At 44.9% G+C, this 25,795-nt stretch overlaps 1 protein-coding gene across 60 annotated transcripts in view; it reads right to left on the bottom strand.

The window, feature by feature from the left end:
* The window catches only part of ARHGEF7 (Rho guanine nucleotide exchange factor 7), a 191,116-nt gene that overhangs the window by 34,157 nt on the left and 131,164 nt on the right, over positions 1-25,795 (bottom strand). For 58 of the 60 annotated variants that reach the window (XR_007063704.1, XM_047430722.1, XM_006719956.4 and 55 more), the window contains one exon: positions 3,908-4,030. Coding sequence is in view for 59 of the 60 variants with exons in the window: in XM_047430722.1 (XP_047286678.1) it covers positions 3,908-4,030 (123 nt within the window). In the remaining variant the exon portion in view is untranslated. Of the gene's footprint in view, positions 1-3,907; positions 4,031-13,952; positions 14,012-25,795 lie in introns of all 60 variants that reach the window. The other 2 variants (NM_001354061.2, XM_047430746.1) reach the window with 1 other exon arrangement.

Raw genomic sequence — 25,795 nt, 5'->3', positions numbered from 1 at the left:
CTTTGTGCTTTCCAAAAATCATTTCCTTGAGACAATCCCAGGCTGGAGATTACTGAAATAAAGCACAGTGCCATCTTCAGGGGCCTGCTGTGGGTAACACCTGCACAGCAAGGTGTCCTGCTCACCGTACAGGCTGCATTGACATGAGCCCATGAGCACACCGCATGTGTTCCTATCATTTCTAAACACGCACACGTCCTCTGCCTTCTTTCCTCAGCATCCACCTTCCCCGGGAAGATGGGTGGGGAACTGAGGAGGGTCCAGGACAGACTCCCATCTGCTGCAGCCACTACAGCCACTGTCCCCCGCCCCTTCTCAGCTGGGGCAACTGTGAGCACTCTGTGGACAGCAGGACCACAAGGACAGAGGAGGAGCCACAGGACTGCTCACCATGCTAGGCACCAGGGCAGGCACTCACAGACATCAATGCTCCAAACATCACTGGGTGGGGCAGACCTACAATTTTGCAAGTGATACAGACGACGGCCTGCATGAAGGCCACTGCCCACACCATCACTGCCGGCAGAACAGCTGACGCTCTGCACCCCAGGCGGACCCCTGCTATGTGGATGGCATGGCCGGCCCCTCTGACCACGGGCAGCCTGTTCCGCACACACACATCCCTCCCCTCCGCCCAGTTCTTACTCAGAAGTGCTCCTCTTCCCATTACTCACTCTATCCATTCCTAAAGCATGAATAGAGTGACATGAGGGCTTCAGACAGGAGCAATTTATATTTTACCAACAATTCTCTAGGTGTTGGAGAATTTATCAGGCAGTCCCATGAAAATCAAACTTTATGATACTAAAAATATATTTCAACTCCTTTAAATGTAATCCACATAAGTACCTTTTCCACCAAAATAAGAATCAAGGAAAAATCCATTCAGGTCATTATTTATATTTCAGGGTTACCTGTGAAATTTCCTAACTACGGTACAGCAGAGAAAAACTAACAAAACTAAACAGTTACCCTCATCACCACTCCCTCAAAAAAAGCCCAGAAGCCAAAAAAGTGAAACATGTGCAAGCAAAACTCCTTCTAATATCCACAAGACACTCTTACAATGCCAGAACAAATACAGTTAAAAAGGAAATGAAATTTTATAAATGTTTGTGGATCATCGTTTTAGTTTCAGTTTGAAGTTAAAAAAAAAAAAAGTAGTGCCATAATAAAACAAAACAGCTAGTTACAGCTACTCTGACCAAAGACTGCTCTTTCAGCTTCAGTTCTGCTGATGCCAGCAGCCCGTACACAGTGGGTCTCCTCAGTCCTTACCGACACAGTGCTGTGGGCTGACGGCAGCCACAAAACACATGCAAGCATGGAGCCAAGTGCAGAGGAACAAACTGCTGGGAAAAAAATCATTTTCAAAGGCTAAATTATGACACCCATAGTTCATTCAAAATAGCTGGCCATGGACAAGTGTTGCTGCCATCACTGGACGCTGCAGAAGGTCTGAGCTGCTAAAACGGTCAGAGTTGGCATTCTGCGCTCGCAGGGCTCACACTTAGAACTTAAACCCAAGTAACACAAGGACAGTGAGGATGCAAATAAGACTTTAAACTTCAACCCACTGCACTTGAACCAATCCTTAAAAATTACTCCACAGCATGAGCAGATTAGTCTACCCCAGGTGTGGCAGCTTAAAGACCGTCACACACATGGAAAAGCTGGCAAGAGGACCAAGAAAGAATCCAAGTACAAAGGCAGGAGGTAGGAAGGAGCCTTGGCACAGGGAAGCCTGACCCCAATTCACTGCTGTGTCTTTGGGGTGGGGAGGAATCTGTGGCCAACACAGCGGGAACTCTCGTGGTGCAGGGACCTCGGGAGGGCACACAAGCTTCATGTTCCACAGTGGCGGCACCTGCTGGCTCGGGGGACCTTCCTCTCGCCGCAGCTCTGACTCCCAGCACTAAAGCAATGGTGACTTGCCCCGGGGCTGCTGTCCCGAGCGGGCCTCAGCCTGCCCCTCCACTCTCTGGGCAGCCCTGGGAAGGAGGCACAAAGACCCTCCTGACTCAAAAACCCACCTGTATTCTTTCTTCTAGTTACTTCAGGAAAATGCTACACGTACATTAAGACCTGACAAACACACTCATTAAGGTAATAACAGAGAAGAGGATCAACACAGCACACGCCCGCAAGCACTGCTCTTGAATGGCTTCGCATTTTAGGAAACTAACAGTCCTAGTGACTTTCAATGTCATCTTTAGGACAGGTCCTCAGAAAGATGAACTTTCTGTTCATCTTCCTCATGACTCCATCAACAATTCTTGAAGAATTTCCAGAGATACAAATTTAACACTTGCATTGCGCTTTCTGGAAATCTCATTCAATGTATAAATTCCCAGGGGTAGGGGCATAGCGCATAACTAGAAACATGCTGGACGCTTGGAGACGCTGTGGACACAGCCCAGGGGTAGGGGCATAGCACATAACTGGAAACATGCTGGACGCTTGGAGATGCTGCGGACATGGCCCACGCTCCCAAGCGGGACGTGCAGAGGGAGGGTTCTTTGGGTTTTCCTTTTCTGCCACTGCTGTGAGTTCTAACTTCCTTTCCTTTCACTACATTGTTCAAGGCTGCTGTTTCCTTTCAGGGCTGCAGATGCTTTAGTAACAAATAGGAAGTTCAAAAAATCTTAATCCTTTTATATTTGAGCACACCCAGGAAACAGTAACTATCCAGGGTCTTTTTTAAAAAATAAAAAAATTAAAAAATGAAGAAACAATAGAAGACAACAGAATATTCACTGAGCATTTGGTGCGTTCACCCTGACCTGACCTGCTGACAGTTTTAGCTTGAATGCTTGTAACACCCCTGTGAATGAGTTCCTTCAGGAAAGGAAGCTGAAACCCAGAGACAGGAGGAAATCTGCCCAAGGCTGCAGAGCCTGAAGGGAGCAGCCACAGCCAGAGCCGAGTCCACCCTGCTGCCATGTCTGAGCTGTCCTAGGACACCCACGCAGCGCCACACCTGAGCCCCAAATGTGCTTCTGAAGAGGCAACCAACACCTGTTCACTGACGAGGCTTTCAGTGGAAATGTTCGGTTAAGCTGAAGTTAAATACTTAAGTTAGAAAGACAATGGCATTTATCTTTATGCTACTAAAACAATACTTTTCCATTTATGGTTTTGAAAATGTGTGAATTTCTGTTTTCAAAAGAAATTATGAAATTTTTTGTAAAATATTAATACAAATCTTTGTATTAATTTTTTGTAAAACATTAATATAAATCTTTTTAGAAGCAGAAAGTGAGCCTCTGAGCTCTCTAAGCCCCGGTGTGGTCTCCTCCAAGCCAATCCTCAAACAAATCAATTCTTAACACTCACTAATGACTGAGATCCTCCTCAGTAACTGAAACAGCTGAGAAACATCTTCCTCCAATTCGCAGGAAGCAGACACTGTCTTGCTTCATAAAATAAGCAAAACGTCTGTGCATTCTCTGTTGCACTTGTTTTTAGTTTCAGGATGAAAAGCTAAGGGTCTCCAATGTAATGTTTTGTGTATAAAACCTGTATTAATCTGAAATGAGATACTTTCTGTTACAGCTGATGTAACTCGGACTCATGTACTTCCAGTTTTAAGAACTGAAATATGATTCCAGGACCCTTGACTAAGCTTGTGGCTACACCCCAGAACACTTACTAACCCCTTCAACCTATTAGCCAAAGGGCTTCAGGCTGTAGGGAAAACATTGAAAAGATTTGTCTTTTTACAAAAATACTCACCATCATTTTAAAGACTTCTTACCAGTACTTCTCAAGCACTAATTTTGAGGGGTAATTAAAATTCATACCCTTTAATAACCAAGGGACTATTAGCATCATACTATTTCATGCACTATTTGAAGGACACAGAGCCATCCACCCTCCCTGTTGCCAAGGTGCCTAGCAAGCGCACCTGTGTTCCGTGAGGACATTCACTGCAGAAGGGTGATTGGCACAATACGTGAGGTACAGGGTTTTCATCTGTGGCATCAGGTTTAAAAAGCAGCCTCCGACTCTCTGCTGAGCTTCGGGCAACCTGGAGAAATGCGACACAAAGGGAAATAGTCATCAGTTTTACAGACAGGACAACTGCTAACTGACAGACATATAATACTCTGAGTAAGGAAAACCTCCCTCTGCACCCATCTGTGAAAACCAGAGGCCCCGATCCCAGCACACATGTGTTGCTGCCTTGAGTCTAGCAAGGAGAAGGGGCGCCCAGAAAGCAGCTGTGCTGCCAGGTCCTCTCCAGCAGCATTCAGACTGCACAGCATCCCAACCAACCCTCAGGCCCAAGTTCTTTGGGCAGTGAGAAAAACAGATGTCACAGAGCCTTCAGCTTTGCATAAAATAAGGAGAATTATTGAATGTGGTTATTCAGTCTGTGAGGTTTTCTACCAAAGCAGCAACATCAAGACTAACAAAAAATACAAAAACCGCCTTTCCCTTCAGGTTAGAGACTAGAAAGCAAGCCCACCTATCAGGTGCCTCTCCTCCCCAGATCCACAGCATCCTGACAGTTAACAGGCTTTTCCAAGAAGCATAAACTCATGAGAACAAAAAGAATGAGGAAGAGACTACCAGAACCAGCACTGGAAGCTGCATGAGGGGTGACAAGTCGGCACAAGCTGTGGGCATCAGGGCCCCTGGTGGTGCCGCCTCAGTGTTGGGTGTGCCTAACGGGGTACACGCTCACCTCTCCAGACCTCAGAGTTTCTGAAGGACAACAGCAACAACCCGGAGCAGGGGCACGTGTGCTGAAAACAGGAGAACCACGTGAACTCTTACCACCTTCCCTGCACCCCAGGGTGTCTTTGCTCCCCAGATACCCACAATATTACCAGAAGGATTACATCCTCCTACCTAGGGAATGGGAGCCAGAGAAAAAGTGACCAAAAACATGAACACCAGGGATTCCTACAGAAAACAAGAGTCAACCAGTCCCAACTCTCGGACAGCACTTCCAAAGTGCTTTTAGTGTGCCAACCTTAATTATAAGAAGGCATGAAAGGACAAATACATTTGCCTAAAAAAAGGGGAATGAAGGAGCAAAGGAGAAAAAGGAAATATGATAGTCATTCCACATCAGAATAAAAGTTCATGATACAGAAAACCAAAAATATAAGCAGAAGTCAATCAAAGAAATCATCACACGACTAAACAGAAAGAGTGCAAGGCACAAGAGCGAAGGTGTCCACGAGCGTCGACACAGGCCAAAAGAAGACCGAGGCCCCAGACAACAGCAGAGTCATTCAGAAGCCCAGAAACAAGGATGCGAAGAGCTCTGAGTGAGAAACACCTGTTCACACCGAGAATGAGGAACAGCATGGGGCTCCTCAGCACCAGAGCCCAGAAACACTGAAGCACCCCTTGAAACGGGGGTGGAAATCGCTTCCTCTAACTGTCTCCATCTGAGTCAACCGTGAGCATTCACATGGATTAACTGCCTGGCATGCACTTGCTCCTCGGGAAGTTCCCAGAGCAGGTACGTGACCAAAATGACAGAGGAATGCAAAAAAAAATGAAAGACGTCAGCATCCAACACAAAGGTGGCTGGAGCCTGGGTCTAAGGTCCAGGCCTACAACTCATGGGGACACTGCTTCTGCTCTGCTGTCCCCACCGATAAGCACACGGCCTCAGTCCGCCCCTGCTGGGAACAGAACACCGCGGACTGGGTAATTTTCCAACAACAGAAATGCACTGCCCACAGCTCTGGAGGTTGGAAGCCTAAGATCAAGGCACCCGCAGGTGGTCCCCTATTGCATCCTCACAGCGGGGAAGGGGCAAAACAGCTCCCTCACAGCTGTTACAAGGCTGCTGATCCTATTCATGAGGGCTGCATCCTCACAACCTACCCACCTCCAAGGCCCACCTTTTAATACCATCCAATTGGTGATCATCTGTAGTAACAGATGATCTGGGGAAACACATTCAGACCACAGCACACTCTGGCTCCCAAATGTGTCTGCTGGCAGGCATGCCTTTCAACCCTGCAGGCAGGACCTCAGACCCCGGACTTCCCGGTTCCACCTCCATGCAGTCTCTGGGTGTGCCTCCACCTTCATGAGCACTGCTTTCCGCTCCGCGGCTAAGTACTGGCTGGAGAAAGTCATAGTCAGGAGAATCAGCAAGTCACAAGTATTAGGAAAAACCTCATGTTCAAAACACAGAGCACTCAAAATTTATGCTAACTTGGTCTTCTCCCTGTTTTTCAACCATTTTTTATTCATTTCTTAGTAACTGTTAACCGAGGCTCAAAAAGACTGTTCCTGTTCTCATCAATTTAAGAAAATTTACTGAGCTGTTATCAGTACGTCCTATAATAGCTGTGGAGACAGAAAAGCACAGGAAGTAACGCTGTGACAGAGGTGCCAAATCCCACCACCCACCGTTTTCTCTCCTCAGACTCAAGCATTCCCAGCACAATGGGTCTTCTTTTTTTTTTTTTTTTTTTTTTTGAGATGGAGTTTCTCTCTTGTTACCCAGGCTGGAGTGTAATGGCACCATCTCAGCTCACTGCAACCTCCGCCTTCCCGGTTCAAGCGATTCTCGTGTCTCAGCCTCCCGAGTAGCTGGGATTACAGGCATGCACCACCATGCCCAGCTGGGCCTTCCCTTCTAGACTAGATAACATGTCAGTTTTATAAAACATGGCCTTCAGGAAAGAGGTGAAAATAAACCTCTGCTTCTAAAACATAGCAATATGTAGATGTCAAATGTAGTTACGGTAAATAATACAGACAATAGAAATGTAAAATATAGGTAATAAAAATATCCCACACACGTTCAGGTGGCTGATCTGTGTAAGAACATCTACCAAATGTAAGTGCTCCCTCCACATACTAGTCTCTTCCCTGTGCTGTGTAAAAAAAGGCCAACGCCCTCCTTCAATATTTAACTGTCCATCTCTCTCCCTCTCTTAGCTCTCCTTTGATCTCTGTCTGAGCAAGACATGTCCCCACCCAGAGTACTGGCGGGGGCTCACAGAAGCACAACAGTTACCTGCACGGACTGGGAATTTAGTGGGGTCTGCAACAGCAGGGACCTTGCCCACAGCACAAGGAGGCTAAGGGTTAGGATGCACAAGTCTTCCTGTCGGTGGCGGTGACATATAGATCTCTGCGCAGATGGGAGGCTGTCCCACCTGCCTTCTCTACCATGCTTCTTTACCCTCAAATCCAACAGCCACTAGCCACCTGCAGCTATTTCAAGTAAGGTTAACTAAATTTTTTAAAAAAATTAAAAATTCAGTTCTTCAGTTGCGTTAATCTCATTTCCAGAGCTTCACAGCCCCACGTGGCTAGAGGCTACTGAAATTTGTCTAGCAGATACAGCATGTTTCCATCAATGCAAGCTCTCAACAACACTGGTCTAATTCATCCAAGCCATGTTTCCAAATCCTGAATGTGTCATGCAGTTATTATGGTGCTTTACTGTTTAGTTTATTAAAACACAACAGAAGGCAAAGTAAGCTAGCATCTGCACTGCTGCAGACCCATTTCCAACTGTGAACAGCTAAGCGGGGTTTCCACAACCTACCGGGATTAGCCACAGTTCTGTCCATTTGCAGGGTAGTCACTGACTCAAATTAATTTCAACTACTATATGTATGCAGCACCATTACAAGGCACTGGGAACAGATTAAAAACAGGGTAAGAAACAGTCTCTACCTTAAAGTGAGTTCTATCATTTTGTACAGAAGTAAACTGAAGACAATTATGTAGTCTCAGTGACAGGAGCTACAAACTGCTGCCAGCCTACAGAGGAGGAAGAACACGCCCTTTAAGACACACAGGTTTTGAGAATCTTCTGACATCTGAGCAGGTGATGTTCATCCTCAGAGACACAGTGAAATATCAGGAAGAGGCGGGCTTCTAGAATGACAGGACCCTGCATGCCTCACTAGGAGGACTGAAGAGCACTGGGTAATGATGGAATGCCAAAGGTATACGCACAGAAAACACTGCCAGAGATGTGGCACAGGAAAGTTATTGGATATGTGCTACCCACAATGGGTTAAATTCTTAGGATTGCAGAAATACTGCTCAGTGCTGGGCCATGGGCTATGCTAAGATTTCATCTCCTACCTGGTCCAGTGCCACAGCCCCGATCCATTCAGAAAAGGAAATCTGGATAAACTGATTTTCATTTCTGATATTTCATCAATTAATGAAAATTAAGTCATATTTCAGCATAGCTTATAAACGAACAATTCACGGTACGAGTGGTTTTTCCTATTTAATTCACCGCACTGAGCCTAGGCTCTAGATTTTTATTACCTCTTTCAGTCCCAGACCAATTCTCCCAAGAATTTTCTGTCACTGCCATCACCAAAGTTTCATGGCTGATAAAGCCCTTGTTCATTAATTCAGTAGCAGATAAAGCTCATAAAGGTCAGCTGAGCCCTAGGACTCGAGCATAACGTGCCAACATATTCCACACATAACGCTGCCTAGACACCTGAATTCACACGACAACCAGCCAGACTCACAGAAATCACCATTACAGAATATGAGTTCAGAATTAAAGGAGGGGATGTTCCCCTCGGTTCTCTCTTGTGCTCCATAGGCTGCTCTTCAGAGTGTGATAACATGCAGACAGGGCACCCCACAGGGGCTACATCAAGGCCTTGGGCAGCAGGATGGTGCACATGAGTCATGAGAGGCAGCACGCATCATGCCAGCTGCTCCCACCAGGCCTCCTGGCAGAACCAAAGCCATAATCTAACAGGTGTGATGTTGCATTGTGTCCATGAATGATCTGATGACAGCTAGAGTCACACATACCATCTACATCTTCACAGTAACAGCAACAGCACAAGGTGAAAGGGGGTACCCAAGGGTTTTTTTTCCTTACCCAGAAGATTACTGGGTCTCAGAAAAAACACTTGAGAAATCAAATGCTAAGCAGTTTCCCCCGTAACATGTTTACTCCTAGTGATACTGCTAACTAGACAGAGGAATGGTTCTCAGTTCATCAACAAGTGATTTCAGATGGAAACTGAGATGCCCATGAAGACAGAGCAATGTGCTGGGGGAACCTCCATACACATCTCCAGCCGCAAGGAACCCAGCAGCCTGTCGTGATCAACAGATGGCCTTCAGAGATGAGACTTCACAAGTAGCCTCCTGCTCCCACTCAGGGTGGAGATAGACACACACACACACATGCACACACACACACAGGGACACGGGGCCCCTGTAACCACATGACCTCTGGCAGGTCTCTCTTGTTGACTACCAAAGCTTCTAAGTTCTCCAATTTACTGGCATACAGTTGTTCACAGTAGCCTCTAGTGAGTCTGAATTTCTGCAGTATCAGTTTTAAAATCAGAAACAAAAAAGAAAAATTATTTATTTGGGTCTTCTCTTTTTTCTTAGTCTGACTAAAGGTTTGTCAATTTTATTTTTTCAAAAAAGCCACTTTTGGTTTCATCGATCTTTTGTAATATTTCAAATTCATTTACTTCCACTGTAATCTTTATTATTTTCCTTCTACAATTTTGGGTTTGGTTTGCTCCTGCTTTTCTTGTTAAGATGCATCATTAAGGTTGTTTATTTGAAGTTTTTCTACTTTTTGATGTAGTTGCTTACAGCTACAAACTTCCTCTTAATACAGCTTTTGCTGTACCCCATAGGTTTTGGTATGCTGTGTTTCCACGATCACTTGTTTCAAGAAATTTTTAAATTTTCTTAATTTCTTCATTGACCCACTGGTCATTCAGGAGCACACTGTTTAATTTCCATGTGTCTGCATAGTTTCCAAAATTCCTCATTATTGATTTCTAGTTTTATTCCATTGTGGTCAGAAGAATCTTGATAAAATTATATTTTTTTAAGAGATGAATCTCATTTTTAAAAAAATTTTAAGACTTGTTTTGTGCTTAATATAGATGATCCTTAAGAATGATCCATGTGCTAAGAAAAGAATGTGCATTCTGAAGCCACTAGAGGAAATGTTCTGTAAGTATCTTTAGATTGATTTGTTCTAAAGTACAGATAAAGTCAAGTGTCTTTGTTGCTTTTCTGTATCAAAGATCTGTCCAGTGCTGAAAGTGGTGTGTTGACATCTCTAGCTATTATTGTATTGGGGTTTATCTTTAGTTCTAATAATACTTGCTTTATATTATCTGGGTGCTCCAATGTTGGATGCATATTTACAACTGCTATATCCTCTTGCTGAATTGACCCCTTTATCATTATATAATGACTTTCTTTGTCTCTAGCTTTTGTCTTGAAATCTATTTTGTTTGATATAAGTCTAGCTACTCCTGCTCTTTTTGGTTCCTATTTGCATGGAGTATCTTTTTCCATTCCTTTATTTCCAGTCTATAGGTGTCTTTATAGATCATTGGGTTTTTTGTCTTTTTGGTTTTTTTTAATCCATTCAGCCACTCTACGGCTCTTGATTGCAGAGTTTAGTTCATTTAAGTTCAATGTTATTATTCATAACCATGGACTTACTCTTGCCATTTTGTCATTTGTTTTCTTGTTTTGCAATCTTCTCTTCCTTTTTTCCTTCCTGTCTTCCTTTTAGTAAAGGTGATTCTCTCTGGTTTTATGTTTTAATTTCTTGCTTTTTATTTTTTATGGATCTATTGTATGTTTCTTAATTTGAGGTTACCATGGACTTCCAAATAATAAAACCCATTATTTTTAAATGACAACATTGATTGTGTAAACAATGTAACAAGCAAGGAAACAGAACATTAATTAAAAACTCTACACTTTAACTTTGTCCTTGTGCTTTTTAACTTTTTGTTGTTTCTACTTATATCTTACTGTACTGTCTTGAAAACTTGTAGTTTTTTATCAGTTCATCTTTTAACCTTTCTACTCAAGATATGAGTAGTTTACACATAGTGTTATACTATTCTGTATTCTTCTGAGTACTATTACCAGTGAGTTTTGTACCTTCAGGTGATTTCTTATTGCTCACTAACATTATTTTCTTTCAGATTGAAGAACTCCCTTTAGCATTTCTTGTAGAACAGGGCTGGTGTTAATAAAATCCCTCAACTTTTGTTTGGGAAAGTTTTTATTTCTCCTTCATGTTTGAAGAATATTTTTGCTAGATATACTATCCTAGGATAAAAGGTTTTTGCTTTCAGCAATTTAAATATGTCAGGCCCACAGTCTCCTGGCCTGGAAGCTTTCCACTGAGAAGTCTGCTGCCAGATGTACTGGAGCATCTTTGTATGGTATTTGTTTCTCTCTCTGCTTTTAGGATCCTTTCTTCATCATTGACCTATGGGAGTTTGCTTATTAAATCCCATAAGGTAGTCTTCTACGGGTTAAATCTACTTCGTGTTTTATTAATATAACCTTCTTGTACTTGAATATTGATACCTTTCTCTCTGTTTGGGAAGCTATCTGTTATCTCTTTGAATAAACTTTCTACCCCTATGTCTCTCTTTACTTCCTCCTTAAGGCCAATAACTCCTGGATTTGCCCTTTTGGGGCTATTTTCTACATCTTGTAGGCATGCTTCATTGTTTTTGATTCTTTCTTTAGTCTCTTCTGTGTATTTTTAGATGGCCTGTCTTCAAGCTCACTAATTCTTTCCTCTGCTTGATCAATTCTGCTAAGAGACTTTGATGCATTTTTCAGTACGTCAACTACATTTTTCAACTCCAGAATTTCTGCTTGATTCTTTCATATTTCAATCTCTTTAAATTTATCTGATAGGATTCTGATTTCCTTCTCTGTGTCATCTTGAATTTCATTGTTTCCTCAAAATAGCTACTTTTTAATTCTCTGTCTGAAAGGTCACATATCTGTCTCTCCAGAATTGTTTACTGGTAGCTTTATTTGGCGAGTTCCTGTTTTCCTGGATGGACTTCATGCTTGTGGATGTTTGTCAGTGTCTGGGCACTGGGCGTTGAAGAGCTAGGTGTTTATTGTAGTCTTCACAGCCTAGGCTTGTTTGTACCCATCCTTCTTGGGAAGGCTTTCCAGTATTCAAAGGGACTTGGGTGTTGCAATTTAAGTTTTTGGTCTCACTGCAGCTGTATCTGCATTAAATTGGGGCACCCCACACGCAGTAATGCTGTGACTCTTGCTGATTCACATAGGAACCACCACGGTGTTCTTGAACAAAATCCAGAAGAATTTTCAATTACTAGGCAGAGACTCTTTGCTCTCTTCCCTTACTCTCTCCCAAACAGAGAGAGAGAAAGACAGAGAGAGGGGTGTGTGTGTGTGAGATGAGTAGCTGGAGCTAGAGAAGGATGACACAATACCCCTGTAGTCACCACCATTGGGACTGCACTGGTTCACACCTGAAGCCAGCAAAGCACTGGACTGCACCCAAGGCCCATGGTAACCACTTCCTAACTACTGCCTATGTTTGCTCAAGACCCTGGGGCACTACAATCGGCAGGTGGCAAAGCCAGATGGGCACGTGTCCTTTCCTTCAGGACGGTGAGTTCTCCTTGGCTCCGGGCAGGTCTAGAGATGCCATCTGCGAGCCAGAGCCCGGAAGCTGAAACCTTAGGAATCTAGCTGGTGCACTATTCTACTGCAGTTGAATATTTCTTGTGGCACCCAAGCCACATGAAAAAGTCCTTCCCACTCTTCACTCCCCTTTTCCATAAGCAGGAAACCTCTCCCTGTAGCCACCACCGGGCCTGCAGCAAGTACTGCCTGTTTATTGCTAATGTTCCTTCAAGGCCCAAGGACTCTTCAGTCAGTTTGTGGTGAATGCCACCAGGCCTGAGACTCTCCTTTCAGAGCAGTGGGCTGCCTTCTAGCCCACAGCAGGTCCCGAAATCATGTCTAACAGCCAAGGCCTGAAACTGGGGACTCCCAAGAGCCCACTTGATGTTCCACCTCACTGTGGCTGGGCAGATACCTACGCTGCAAGACAAAGTCTCCTCTCCTTTTCTCAAGCAGGAGTCCCTCCCTGTAGCCACCACAGCTGGGAATGTGCTCTGGGTCACATTTGAAGCCAGCTCGTCTTTGAGTCTCATGCAAGACCCATGGTGAGTTCTGCCTGGGTACCACTGCTGATTACTCAGGGCCCAAGGACTCTTTAGTCAGCAGATGATGGATCCTGACAGGAACTGGGTGCTTCCCTTCCAAGCAGTGGGTTCCCTTTTGGTCCAAGGTATGTCTATAAATGTCGTCCGGGAGCCTCAGGGTTCTGCCTGATGCTCTATCCTGCTGTGGCTGAGCTGGTATCCAAGCTGCAAGACAAAGCCGTCTTTCCTCTCCTCTTATTCTCTAGCAGAAGGAAGGAGTCTCTCCTGGAGGTGCAGGCTGCACTGCCTGTGGTTGTGGGAGGAGTCTCACTGGAGCTGCAGGCTGCACTGCCTGTGGTTGTGGGAGGAGTCTCTCCTGGAGCTGCAGGCTGCACTGCCTGTGGTTGTGGGAGGAGTCTCTCCTGGAGCTGCAGGCTGCACTGCCTGTGGTTGTGGGAGGAGTCTCTCCTGGAGCTGCAGGCTGCACTGCCTGTGGCTGTGGGAGGGTGGTGCAAGGCCTCCCTTGGCTGCCCCGGCTGAGGTCTCACTAGGTTGCAGGCCCCCCAAGGCCACTGGCTCAGAGCCCCAGCACAACACTAGGTCTTAGCCAGGAAGTGCAGTCCTTGTGGCCTAGACTCTCTTTCAAGTTTATTTAGAACCCCAGGTCATTTTAGCCCACAGTGGCGGGGCCTGCCAGAACTCAGGTTCCAACTGCTGGGACCAGGGACTAGCCTTCTGGCTAGGACTGGTCTAAATGCTACCTCTGTGCCCAATGTTGCTTTCCACTGTGACAGGGCAGCACTGAGTTCCAATACAAAGTCTCACAACTACTGAGCCCTCCCCCTCTCCGAAGTGCACAGGTTTTCTCTCTGTGCTACGTGGCTGCTGCCGAAGTTGAGGGAGCAGTAGTATCAGCAATTTAAGACTGTCTTTCCTACCCTCTTCAGTTTCTCCTTCAGTGATATGAAGTTAGAACCAGGCACCGTGATCACTCACCTGATTCTGATTCTTAAGAAGGTATTTCTTCGTGTGGAGAGTTGTTCAATTTGGTGTTCCTGTGGGGAGGACAATCAGTGGAGGTTTCTATTTGGCTATCTTGCTCCACCTCCTCCCTATTATCTTAGGCTTTATAATTAACTTTTGAACAAAATCATTACATGATATTTAACTATTATAACAATTACATTAAATACTTATAAACACATTGGATATTTTCTTTGATACACTACACTGAAGTCCTATCATATACAAGTCAACAAATGGGAACTCAGTCTACTGATGTCTGTAATACATTGAAAGGCATTTACCATTAAAATAAAATCAAGACATACATTCAATCAAAACACAAGAGACAAAGGGAAGGCTGTACTAAGAATTGGTATGTTCACTGGGACTGAAGGATTAAGTAGGATTTTAGTAAGAAGATAAGCAGAAGTGATTCCAAACAAAGGGAATAGTAAGGAGAGCTGGGTGGGGGGAAAATCCCACTTTCAGCCCCACCAGGCAGCAACAAGAAAGGCTCATAAGCCAAGGCCTGAGGACAGAGGCCAAAAAGGAGGTCCAATCTGTAGAGGGACATCTGTAGATTATTACAACTTTGGAACCAATCTAAATTAGCTGTTTTCAAGAAGCAAAAATTGCCACAATTTTAACAGGTCCTGTCCAAACGTCTTGAAGACCAGCTGGTGAATAAATGAATAAAGCGGTGTCACCCCCAGTTTCTGGGATGAACCATTTCAGGAGGACCAGTGCTGGTGGAGAAGCTGGACAGAACAGGAGCCAACTAGAAGTCAGGGCCCAGTTAGGTTAGCGCACAGACACCATGAAAACCCACAAGACCTGAACTACAGCGTTCAGGACAGGTCAGGCACAGAAGAGGTAGCTCGGCAAATGATTCAAGGTGGGGGAAAAGGAAGAGTTAAAGATACACTAAAGGTTTCTAAAAAGAAATCAACAGGTGGGTAATACGAAGAGAGCGAGTGAGCAGGGAAGAGGAGGAAGGAGGAGATGCCAGTGAATTCCTGAAGCACGCCAACTAAAGGTCTCCACAGAGATCGGCACAAACACGAAAAGACAAGCTGAACAATCAAGAAAGATCTGATCCAGAAAGGCTGACTTCAGAGGCAGGAGCTAACAACTGGTTGTGACACTGAAAGACCAGGGATGGTGGAGCCCATACTGCATCAACTGAGAACCGGAGCAGGCTCAGGACAGAACCTGAGTGTGGGCAGGGAGAACATGCCATAGGTAACCCTCTATGAAAGAAGGCATGGTGGCTAAAAACATCAAAGCGCCCGCAGTTCCAATCACTGTGCCTCCCTACATGCCATTTATAAAGCTTCCTTAATCATCCAAAATGTTTCTTTCCTGAACGTTTGGTCTATTTCTCCATCGCCTTCCAAGTGAAACCTTCCTGCCTTCTTTGGTTTATGCCGTAGCTACCGCCTCCTCCATAGCTACAGCCTACTAATCAAGGAACTGATTAGTGTAGGATAAGAATAAGACTAAAGACACATTTGGTTGTTTTCTACCATTCCAAATACAGGCAATGATGGCTTAACTAGCTGGCGGTTAAAAATAAGTTGCCTCCAGCTATTTTAGGAAAAAAATAATTAAAATATCGACATTAAAAAGATCCAGACAACGAATGAAATATCATACCAATTCATTACACCATTCATGAAGTTCATTAAATCATTCTCTACTTCCAACCTGATTCCATGGCTAGTCAACTGCCTGTCAGACATCCCCAAACGACAGAGCCAAGAGAAACGCAGCACTGAAAAGAAAGCACCATGACCCCACCTTCCACAGGAAAAATATCCCCCAGTTAAAGACAGTCATAAAATGTCCCCGAGTTTAAGGGCAGAAAGTGAAATCAAGTGAAGACAAAGCTGCAGAAATGGGAAGGGTGAGGAAAAAAGTCCCTCACCAATGTGACTGAAAACAGATCTTCTTTCACGAACACCAGCCAGCTCACTCAGGGCCCTCCAAAGCCAGTGCGAAGTTACATTTTCACAACTGAAGTTATAAATGGTGCACAGGGAGGGCCCTGGCAGAACAGAGGCTGCAGGAGAACTCAGCTCCAGACGCCAAGTAGGGCCCCGAGCATTTGCAGATGGTTCCGTAAGTACCAGGCCACTTTACCTCCGCAAGACTCTGGGTGGGTGACACCAGCACCCCTGCTTTATAGATGAGGACACTGGGACAGACATGGGCAAGCAACATGAGGCAGGTGACCAGGAGAGCTGTCAATCCAAACCTAACCTTTACCTGGGCCACACCTCTTCCCACACATGCAGTAGGCCGGGTGGGAAGTCTGCAGCTCCCAGTATCCGCTTCCACCCTCCCCTGTGACATCTCCAACTGAAATGCACAGCAACCCCAAACGGAACTCAGCGCCTTAGCCCGAATCCTCTTCTGAGCCCGGCCTTCACGTTAGCGACTCAGCGCCTTAGCCCGAATCCTCTTCTGGGCCCGGCCTTCACGTTAGCGACTCAGCGCCTTAGCCCGAATCCTCTTCTGGGCCCGGCCTTCACGTTAGCGACTCAGCGCCTTAGCCCGAATCCTCTTCTGGGCCCGGCCTTCACGTTAGCGACTCAGCGCCTTAGCCCGAATCCTCTTCTGGGCCCGGCCTTCACGTTAGCGACTCAGCGCCTTAGCCCGAATCCTCTTCTGGGCCCGGCCTTCACGTTAGCGACTCAGCGCCTTAGCCCGAATCCTCTTCTGGGCCCGGCCTTCACGTTAGCGACTCAGCGCCTTAGCCCGAATCCTCTTCTGGGCCCGGCCTTCACGTTAGCGACTCAGCGCCTTAGCCCGAATCCTCTTCTGGGCCCGGCCTTCACGTTAGCGACTCAGCGCCTTAGCCCGAATCCTCTTCTGGGCCCGGCCTTCACGTTAGCGACTCAGCGCCTTAGCCCGAATCCTCTTCTGGGCCCGGCCTTCACGTTAGCGACTCAGCGCCTTAGCCCGAATCCTCTTCTGGGCCCGGCCTTCACGTTAGCGACTCAGCGCCTTAGCCCGAATCCTCTTCTGAGGCCAGCCTTCACGTTAGTGACTCAGCGCCTTAGCCCGAATCCTCTTCTGAGCCCGGCCTTCATGTTAGCGACTCAGCGCCTTAGCCCGAATCCTCTTCTGAGGCCGGCCTTCATGTTAGCGACTCAGCGCCTTAGCCCGAATCCTCTTCTGAGCCCGGCCTTCATGTTAGTGACTCAGCGCCTTAGCCCGAATCCTCTTCTGAGCCCGGCCTTCATGTTAGTGGCACCCATATCCTCTCAAACAACTTGACTCAAAATCACATTTTTAAAAAAACTGTCACCAGAATAGAAACTGAAAATTACAAACATTGCAGTTAACCGATTTATTTAAAAACAGTTCAAACAACAAATATGCTGAGAATGAGTCTCTAGAGAAGAAAATTTTTCTCTTGATGTACTGTTTTCACTATCATCTTACAGAAAATGTACAACATATTAGAACAATCTGAGTAAAGGACTGGAGATGGAATTCACCACCACCTTGCCCTCTAAACTAATAGCACCCATGAACCAGCACCACAATGGTTCAACTTGAGCTACAAGAAGGGTAGGCTTCCCTCACAGTCCTCCACAGGCGTGGCATCCTGTGATCTCCCAGGTAGCCAGAGAACACGGCAGAACCATCAGAAACCTATGTGAAACTCCATGAGGAAAAGGCGTCCCATGTATCACATGGTGGCATGCAGCAGAGCCAAAATGCTCTGAGACATTTGAACTGTGATAACTGGGTTGCGAGAGGTCATCGGGTGGCCCTGAACATCGCCAAAGCAGCACAAAGTATAGGGATCGGGGGAGGCTGGGGACCCGGGGTGGGGAAAGCACCCAGAACACTCAAGCAGGAATGGTGAAATGGTCGCAGCTGCCCCAAGCAACAGTTACACACAACAAGCTTAGTGTGGTAGTCCCAGGCTTGGTGGAGACTCTGGGGTACAGTGATCCAGGCACCCTCACTATTTCAAGAGCTGTACATCTGAGACGGGAACAGGGCAAATCCTGCTATCTCCACTGTTTGCCAGCCCATGCGCTGGCATCTAAACAAAGAGACGGAGAGTTACTGGGTATTTTAGTATTTCTTTAGGGGAAGTATTACAACACCACTGAGTCACCATCAAAATAAGTAAGAATAAAATTTGGTACAACAAGGATGTTCCATAAGAGGGCTTCTGAGGTTCTATTTTCAACAGAATTTAACCTCCTTTCTATCATAAACTAGAAGCAAATTCCCAACTTATCAGTTTTATTTTAAAAACTCGTTTAAAAGATACTATTAGATTCCAAGAATTCATTTTCCCATAGAGGCAATTTTTTACAAACCACTGTTCCACATTCCCAGACTAGTCCAAAGACTCTCTAAATCATACTGTAACAGGGTCTACAGTAAATCATGTAGTACAGGGAATTCTCCGACACATAGAACAATAGTTTGAAGGAAAACTGCATTTCAAATGCTATCCTGAGAGAGCACTCACTATCTTATTTCTCCCCACTAAGGCTTTCTTGTCCCAAAGTGAGGCAGGGGCCCTGCCCCCAACAGGAGAAGGGGGCCTGGGCTCCAGCTGCTGCTGGGCCTGGCCCTGGGAGAGGAACCTAACTGGCTGGGGGCTCTCGCTGGGGCTGCCTTAGGGCAGCAGAGGGTGGGGTGAGAAGCTGCCAGGCCTGCGAAAAGCACTGCCAACTGAAAGAGGTGGAACTATGAATCAGGGACTCTCAGAATCAACCTTTCACATACATACCTCGAATGAAGACAACCTGTCTCCAAATCTGAGGCCCCAGTTACCAGTTGTGTAACCTTGGGCACATCCCTCACCCTCTTGGTGTCCTAGCTTTCTTATCTTTAAACACCTGCCTCATGGGGTCCTTTAAAGGATAAAATGAGTTAATAACTGAAAAAATACCAGGAACACACTAAGAATTCAATAAATAGTAGGTCTGTACATGGAAGTTCACTGTACATATTTATAGTAAGGCAGCCATCAGACAGACATGAGCTGCCGTTAAAGTATTTGAAAAACTCTCCTAATGACATTAAAGTGGTTAGAATTCTTCTACAGCTCTCTTCTGGGATAACTTCTTTTCACATCTGCAATCATTTAATTTGCAGCAAAACATGTAATGTCTTCTGTACTGGACATCTAGGAAGGAGAAGCCTCTGCCTGTGCTATTCACACCTGCCCCATACTGAGGTCAAATCAGGTTACCTCACTGCCCAAATGCAACAGGCAGGCTCTCCTGAGAGAGCACTCACTATCTTATCTTAACTAGAGGCAGGCCCTCAATCCTGGCCCTAATTATGCATGTGTTCTCCCATACACCAAAGCTTAGAGAAGTGGAAGGCAGTATCAACAATAATTACATCTGGGTAAAAAGTTTATTGGTGGTTTTTCACTCTGTCCTATTCTACAGCTTCTGGATATTTTATAATGAGACTAACTCTTTTATGCCATCTTAACTAGTGCTTTCTATGGAATGCCATCTAGGCTTCTGCCCCAGTGCTAAGCAAATCACCCGCTGCACCTTCCAGGACCACACAAGGACCCCAGGAGGACAAGGCCCCAGGGCACTCCTCCCACTTTGGAAGTATCAACTACAGTGGCAACCACAGACAAAGAGATCCCTTTTGGGGATAAAGGAATGCTTGGAAAAAGTCATATAAGCTACAAAAGAATTCTAGGCATAGGGTCATTCTGGGGGAAAAACAAAAACAGAATGAATGCATGCATGCATGAGTGTATGTGAAGGTGGTGACCCACACTTCCTGGTTCAGAGTGGTTCCGGGAGAATGAATGCATGCAGGCATGAGTGTATGTGAAAGTAGTGACCTACTTCCTGGTTCAGAGTGGTTCTGGGAGAAGACGCTGCCTACAACCAGCCGTGGATCCCAGAAGCACTAACTACAATGCCTAAGCAAAAACAGACTTGCTAAGTAACTTTTATAAACACCTCCACAAAATTACCACTGAATGATTATAAGTCAGTGGCTTTTAAGGTAACGGATATTTATTTAACACGGAAAAGAATCTCGACAAAATTCAATATCCTCCTTTCTGGAGTCTCTGTGTCCTCCTGCCCTCTGCCCCACCCAGACCACTCATCACAGAGCATACGGTTCCTTTTACAGAAGAGTGCCGACTATGATACTGCCAAGCTTCAAATCCATCAGCGGCTTCCAACTACTCTTGACAGTCACCTAAGATCCAATCAAAGTCTCCAGGACCTGATCTCGCCTGCCCGTCCGGGCTCCTACTGTTCCACTCCTCTCCATTCACAGGCTCCAGCCACAGCCAATGCCCACCTCAGGGTGCTCTCTCTCCTGTGATATCAGATAAACTGTCCCTGGCTCCCAAAGCCCCTGGAATTTTCTGAGTGACAGAAGTGTCTTTTGTTACCCATCATGAACCCCTTTCCGTCATACCCGAGTCTATGCTAACGAGGTAACTCTGGGTCGGCCCCTAGACAGCTTACAGGATGGGGGCTAGGTGTCACAAAGACCACCATGATCACAGGAACTTTCAGCCCCAACCAGCAACCTAAAGGGAGGACAAGGGGCTGGAGATCATGCCACTCAGCAATGTCCAGTGATCTAGTCAATCATGCATGTCTACCTAACAGAGCCTACATTAGAAACCACCAAGGACAGGGCTTGGAGAGATTTTGGGTTGCTGAAAGCACGGAGGTGCTGCACCCAGAGGGCCTAGAAACTCTGCTCCCATCCCTTACCCTACATCTTTCTTCTATCCATCTCATTCTGAGTTGCATCCTTCATAATAAACTGGTACCAGGAAGTCAAGCACTCTCCTGAGTTACATACATGGGTCATTCCAGCAAATTATCAAACCTGAAGGGAGTCATGGGAACCCTCAAATCTGTACTCAGTCAGGTAGGAGTATATAGCTTGGGCACCCCATTTGCAGCTGGGTTTGAAATGTGGCAGTCTCGTGGGAGACAAATGTCCGAATAGAACTGAACCACTGGAAACTCAGTGTCAGACAATTGACGAAGTGCTGGTGTGAGGAAAAACCTCCTCTCGTTTTTTGCCTGGTTACCTCCCATTTACCCCTCAGTGCTCAGTGATCTTCCCCTGAAGTTTGCTCTTGGTGCCTGATATGATTTCTTTCGTAAGAAGGTCTGCAATTGTAGCTTTCTAACTATTTATACAATTTTCAATTATCTGTCTCCCTCACCAGACTATAAGCTCCACCAGGACAGGCTCTATCAGCAGCCAGCCAGCATCACGCACGTGGTGGCAGCGTGTGCACAAGCGCCGAATGCACGCATACCTGAGAAAGCTGCTCTAGGCAAACTGGGCACATTCCAGCTATCACAACCTCACAACACAAATGACAGTGTGCCGCTACTAATGCAGCAAATGGCACAAGGGCATGGAAGGCAGATTGCAGTTTCTATTGTTTTGAACTGAAAGCCTAGACAAAGCATGCTTGCAAGGAGCCCTCTACAGCTGATGAAAGGAAGAACTGTGATTTGAAAAACTAAAAGGAAATGGGTTCTATAAATCTGGCTATAGCCAAATTACTCCTATCAAACTGACTCGCCTGCAAATAACATCGAAACTTTAAAAAACATATAGAAAGTAACTGCCTAGAGGCACTCAAAAGTAGCATGAAAGATAACAGAATCTTGGGACCCAAACTCACTATGCCAGTGGGAAAGTGAAGCTTGGGAACTGAACTGTGCAACACTGTCTGCCTTTTGTTGCCGAACAGAGAGCTGTCATTCCACAACCCTGTGTCATGGCCTCATCCATACGCCAGGTGCCCACAACTACAGAAGGCCACATAGCTCCCCAGATGGCCTTCCTCACAAAGTGCTCACAAGGAGATTTCTTGTGAGCCCCTAAATCTATCAGAACATATGTCCCCCACTAAAAACTAGCCCTAAAACCGAGTTCTATTGTATCTCACCCTGGCAATGTCAAGTACCAGCTTATCTTCATAGGTACAGACAAGGACAAGAGCAGAAATCACCCTTCCCGTGAAAGAGAACCCTGAGAAAAACGCACAACTGACTTTCCTCTACTCCCCCTTTCCCGTGTAAAATGCAGGCTTACTGAGGCCAATCGGAGGCTCACAACAATGTTTAAGCATCTGCCTCACTGCTCCCCAGCCTCCCTTTTTTCCCCTCCTGCTTGTTCTTTCCCCTTTAAATACTGAACTTCTCAAAGCTTTGGAAAAAGCACAAATGCTCCTGTTACCTGGCACGTCCTCAACTGCAGCTACGTAAACCTCTATCGATTGAGACCTGCCTGAATCACTTTTTAGTTAGCATCAGGTATATTCTGGGGAAGGATGGACATTTGGAAAAAAGAACGGGCAGGGCACCTCCTGCTTTCTCAACTATTAAGCTAATGGCAGCCAACTTTGTTATGTGGAACAGCTAAAACTCCAACAAAAATCCACAGGGTTTGGTTCTACCAGAGTTGCTGGGAAGCTGGGGGAAACCCACGGTGAGTGTGACCCTGAATTCTGTCTCTAAATTCTGCCCAAATCTCTGGCTGACGGCAGAACAGAACTTGCAAGGCCAACTTCAGATCAGCTGAGTCTAAAATAAGTGGACTGAGATTTGAGCATCTGCCAAAGGGAGAGTTGGCAATTTGAGCCTGACCAAGTTAACTGCCTGTCAAACAAGCAAATCAATACTCTTCAGGGAAACCTAACATGATCAAGAGTCTACAACCCACAGTAAACAGGACACAATTCAAAGTCACTAGAAATAAAAAGAATCATGAAGACGTAACCCATCCTCACAATAAAGAATCAGCAGATGGGACCTTAAAGCAGTTATTCTAATTATTGCTAAAGGATATAAAGAAAAATATTCTTGTAGTGAATGAACAAATATAAAATCTTAGCAGAGAACTAAACACTTTTTTTAAGCGAAACAAATTCTAGAACTGAAAAAAATTCTCAAACTAAAAACTTGTTGCACGGGGACGAACAAGAGAGTAGAGAGGCAGACAGTGAACACTTAGGACACAGCAGACGCCATTCAACCTGAAGAACAGAGCAGAGACCAGGTCAGAAAGCAACGAGCAAATCCAGGACCTCCAGCAAAAGGTCTACATGGGTGTAACTGGAGCCCCAAGGCAGAGTAGAAACAGTAAAGCAGCAAAATATTTGAAGAAATAATGCCCGCAAATTCCCCACATTTGGTAAAAGACATAAATTTTCAAGTTCGAGAAGTCAGAAAACCACACCCGAGATAATCACCGTCAAAATGCCAAAAACCTAAAATAAAGGCAAAAATCTAGGAAGCGGACGGGGAACAACTATCTGAAATTGTGCTGATCAGAATATAATGGAGGTCATCATCAGATACAATCAACAGATACAGTGAAGGCCAAAAGACAGTGGAGCAATATCCTTCAAATGCTGAAACAACAAATCTGTTACCCAGAGTTCAGTATCCATGGGAAAAAAAAAAATCTTCAGGAACGAAGGCAGCAATTTTCAGACAACAAAATCCAAGATCATGTTTGTCAGTAACACACCTGAATTACAAAAAACTAAAGTGTTCCTCTGCCTGAAGAAAAATGACACCAGATAGAAACTTCAGTTTTCAAGACGGAAGACAGAAGTCCTACATGGCAAAAATACTGAGAAAACAAACATGGGCCTCAGAACGCACAGGGAATGGAGAGGTTAGGGCCAGGTCGAGGCCCCAAGGAAGAAAGCACATCTCACCTGGGGGTCAGCCAACTTTCTATAAAAAGCCAAGGAGTAAATATTTGAGGTATGTGAGCCAGACAGTTTCTATCACAACTCCACTGCTGCCACTGTAGTACAAACACAGCCATTAACAATGGGTGAATGAAAAAGTACAGCACGTGCCAGTGAAACTTTGTTTATAGAAAACAGGTGGTAGGCGGAATCTGACCCAGCCCATAGTTTGCCAACTCCTGGGTCTAACCAACAGGCAGCTGTGAAAGGGCCTGGACATCTACGAATCAAGTCTGTGTAGAGACGAAAAAAAAAAATCAAAAGAAATAATGAATATGAAGGCCAGGCGTGGTTGCTCACGCCTGTAATCCCAACACTTTGGGAGGCTGAGGCGGGTGGTTCATTTGAGGTCAGGAGCTCATGACCAGCCTGACCAACATGGTGAAACCCCGTCTCTACTAAAAATACATAAAAATTAGCTGGGCATGGTGGCGCACGCCTGTAATCCCAGCTACTCGGGAGGCTGAGGCAGGAGAATCACTTGAACTCAGGAGGCAGAGGTTGCAGTGAGCTGAGATCGCACCAGTGCACTCCAGCCTGGGCAACAGAGCAAGATTCTGTATCAAAAAAAAAAAAAGAATGAGTATGAAACTGCTACATATATATGGCATTTGGTAAACTGTAAAATGGTACAGAAATTTCACATATAGGACAAAAAGACGAAAGTAAGTCTTAAAATGGAAATGATGAAAATTTCAGAATATTCATAATAAAAAGAAGAGAAATAGCTGAGAAAGAAAACTTCGTCTAGTACATTCCATTTCCCCGTGGAACTCTAACACCTCGTATACATGTAGCATAAAATTTGAGAAACTTGATCAAAATAATACCTAAGCCATACCAAATTCTGAGATAACATAAGGACTGAAGCCTTAGTAAACACATGGCTTCAAGCGATTACTTTACTGCCTTTATTTCAGCTTTTTAACGAGTAATGTGAGGATAATAATTCGCAGGGCTGATATAATGCCCAACAGAGGTACTGCAAACTGTATTTTTAAAATATACTGTAATAATTTGTTAGACCACATTATCTACAGCCAATGAGAAAAACAGAGGCAAGCATTTACTTCCATCTTGAGCACAATATGAACTCTTACAAAGACTTTGAATTATCAGCAAATGACCTTCATTCACCAAAAGAAAATCAAAGTGATTCCCAAGCTATTCTTTCATGGTCATGTAAGTAATGCCACTTTATGCAAACCAAAAATGCTATAAAAGTAAAAACAATGGCCTGCAGATGGGTTGAAAGTACAGTCTTAAGTTCTATAGAATATTCACTTACGGTTTCTAATAATATTCTGTTACTCTGGCATTCAGCTTTCCTTGCCATATCGATAGTCCAGTATAAAGTGCCTTGACAAAACCTCAAAGCCCAGCCAAAAAGGTAAGGGAACAAAGTATTTTCATCATGGTTGGTAAACTGTCATGAACTGCAAGAACTAGTGGCACAGAAGGAAGGCCACTCCCTCACCACGTTCAAAACCTAAATAGGCACAAGCTGAAGGGAAGACCAGAGACCAACCGAAATCCAAGGAAATAATGTACTGTAGTCTTTTCTGGGGGTTATATGAATAAAGATCAAAGATAATTTAAAAATAAAATGTGTCACCTTCATCAAACCCACAAGTAAAGAAACCTCACCTGATAGACTACTGAAACCTAAAAGCTTCCATGTGCACTACTGTTCTAAGTCACCTGGCAGGAAATTAACAAATATCCTTTAATGTCTGATGTAAACCAAGAAAATAAAATAGTCACACAGAAAAAAACTGATGGCTGATTATTCAGAACATGCCTCTGTCCCTCCAAAGGAAAATTTTGGAAAAGTGACAAAGCCTCAAAGCCCTAGTTCATCAGCATAGCATGTTACATCAGGTTGCTGCAAACATATTTGTGGTTTCTGCATTGTTGAAATTTGCCATTTGATATTGGAACATGTTCTTAAATAAATGTGGTTATACATCATTTTAATGCGTATTTCTCGCTTGATGGTTTTTTTGCTAACGACTTATTACTTGCTGTTTATTTTAGACTATGGAAATGTTAGACAAAAGGCAAATTT

This window comes from Homo sapiens, chromosome 13 (assembly GCF_000001405.40).
Source record: "Homo sapiens chromosome 13, GRCh38.p14 Primary Assembly".
Classification (NCBI taxonomy): domain Eukaryota; kingdom Metazoa; phylum Chordata; class Mammalia; order Primates; family Hominidae; genus Homo; species Homo sapiens.
This window is presented reverse-complemented; position numbering and strand designations above follow the sequence as displayed.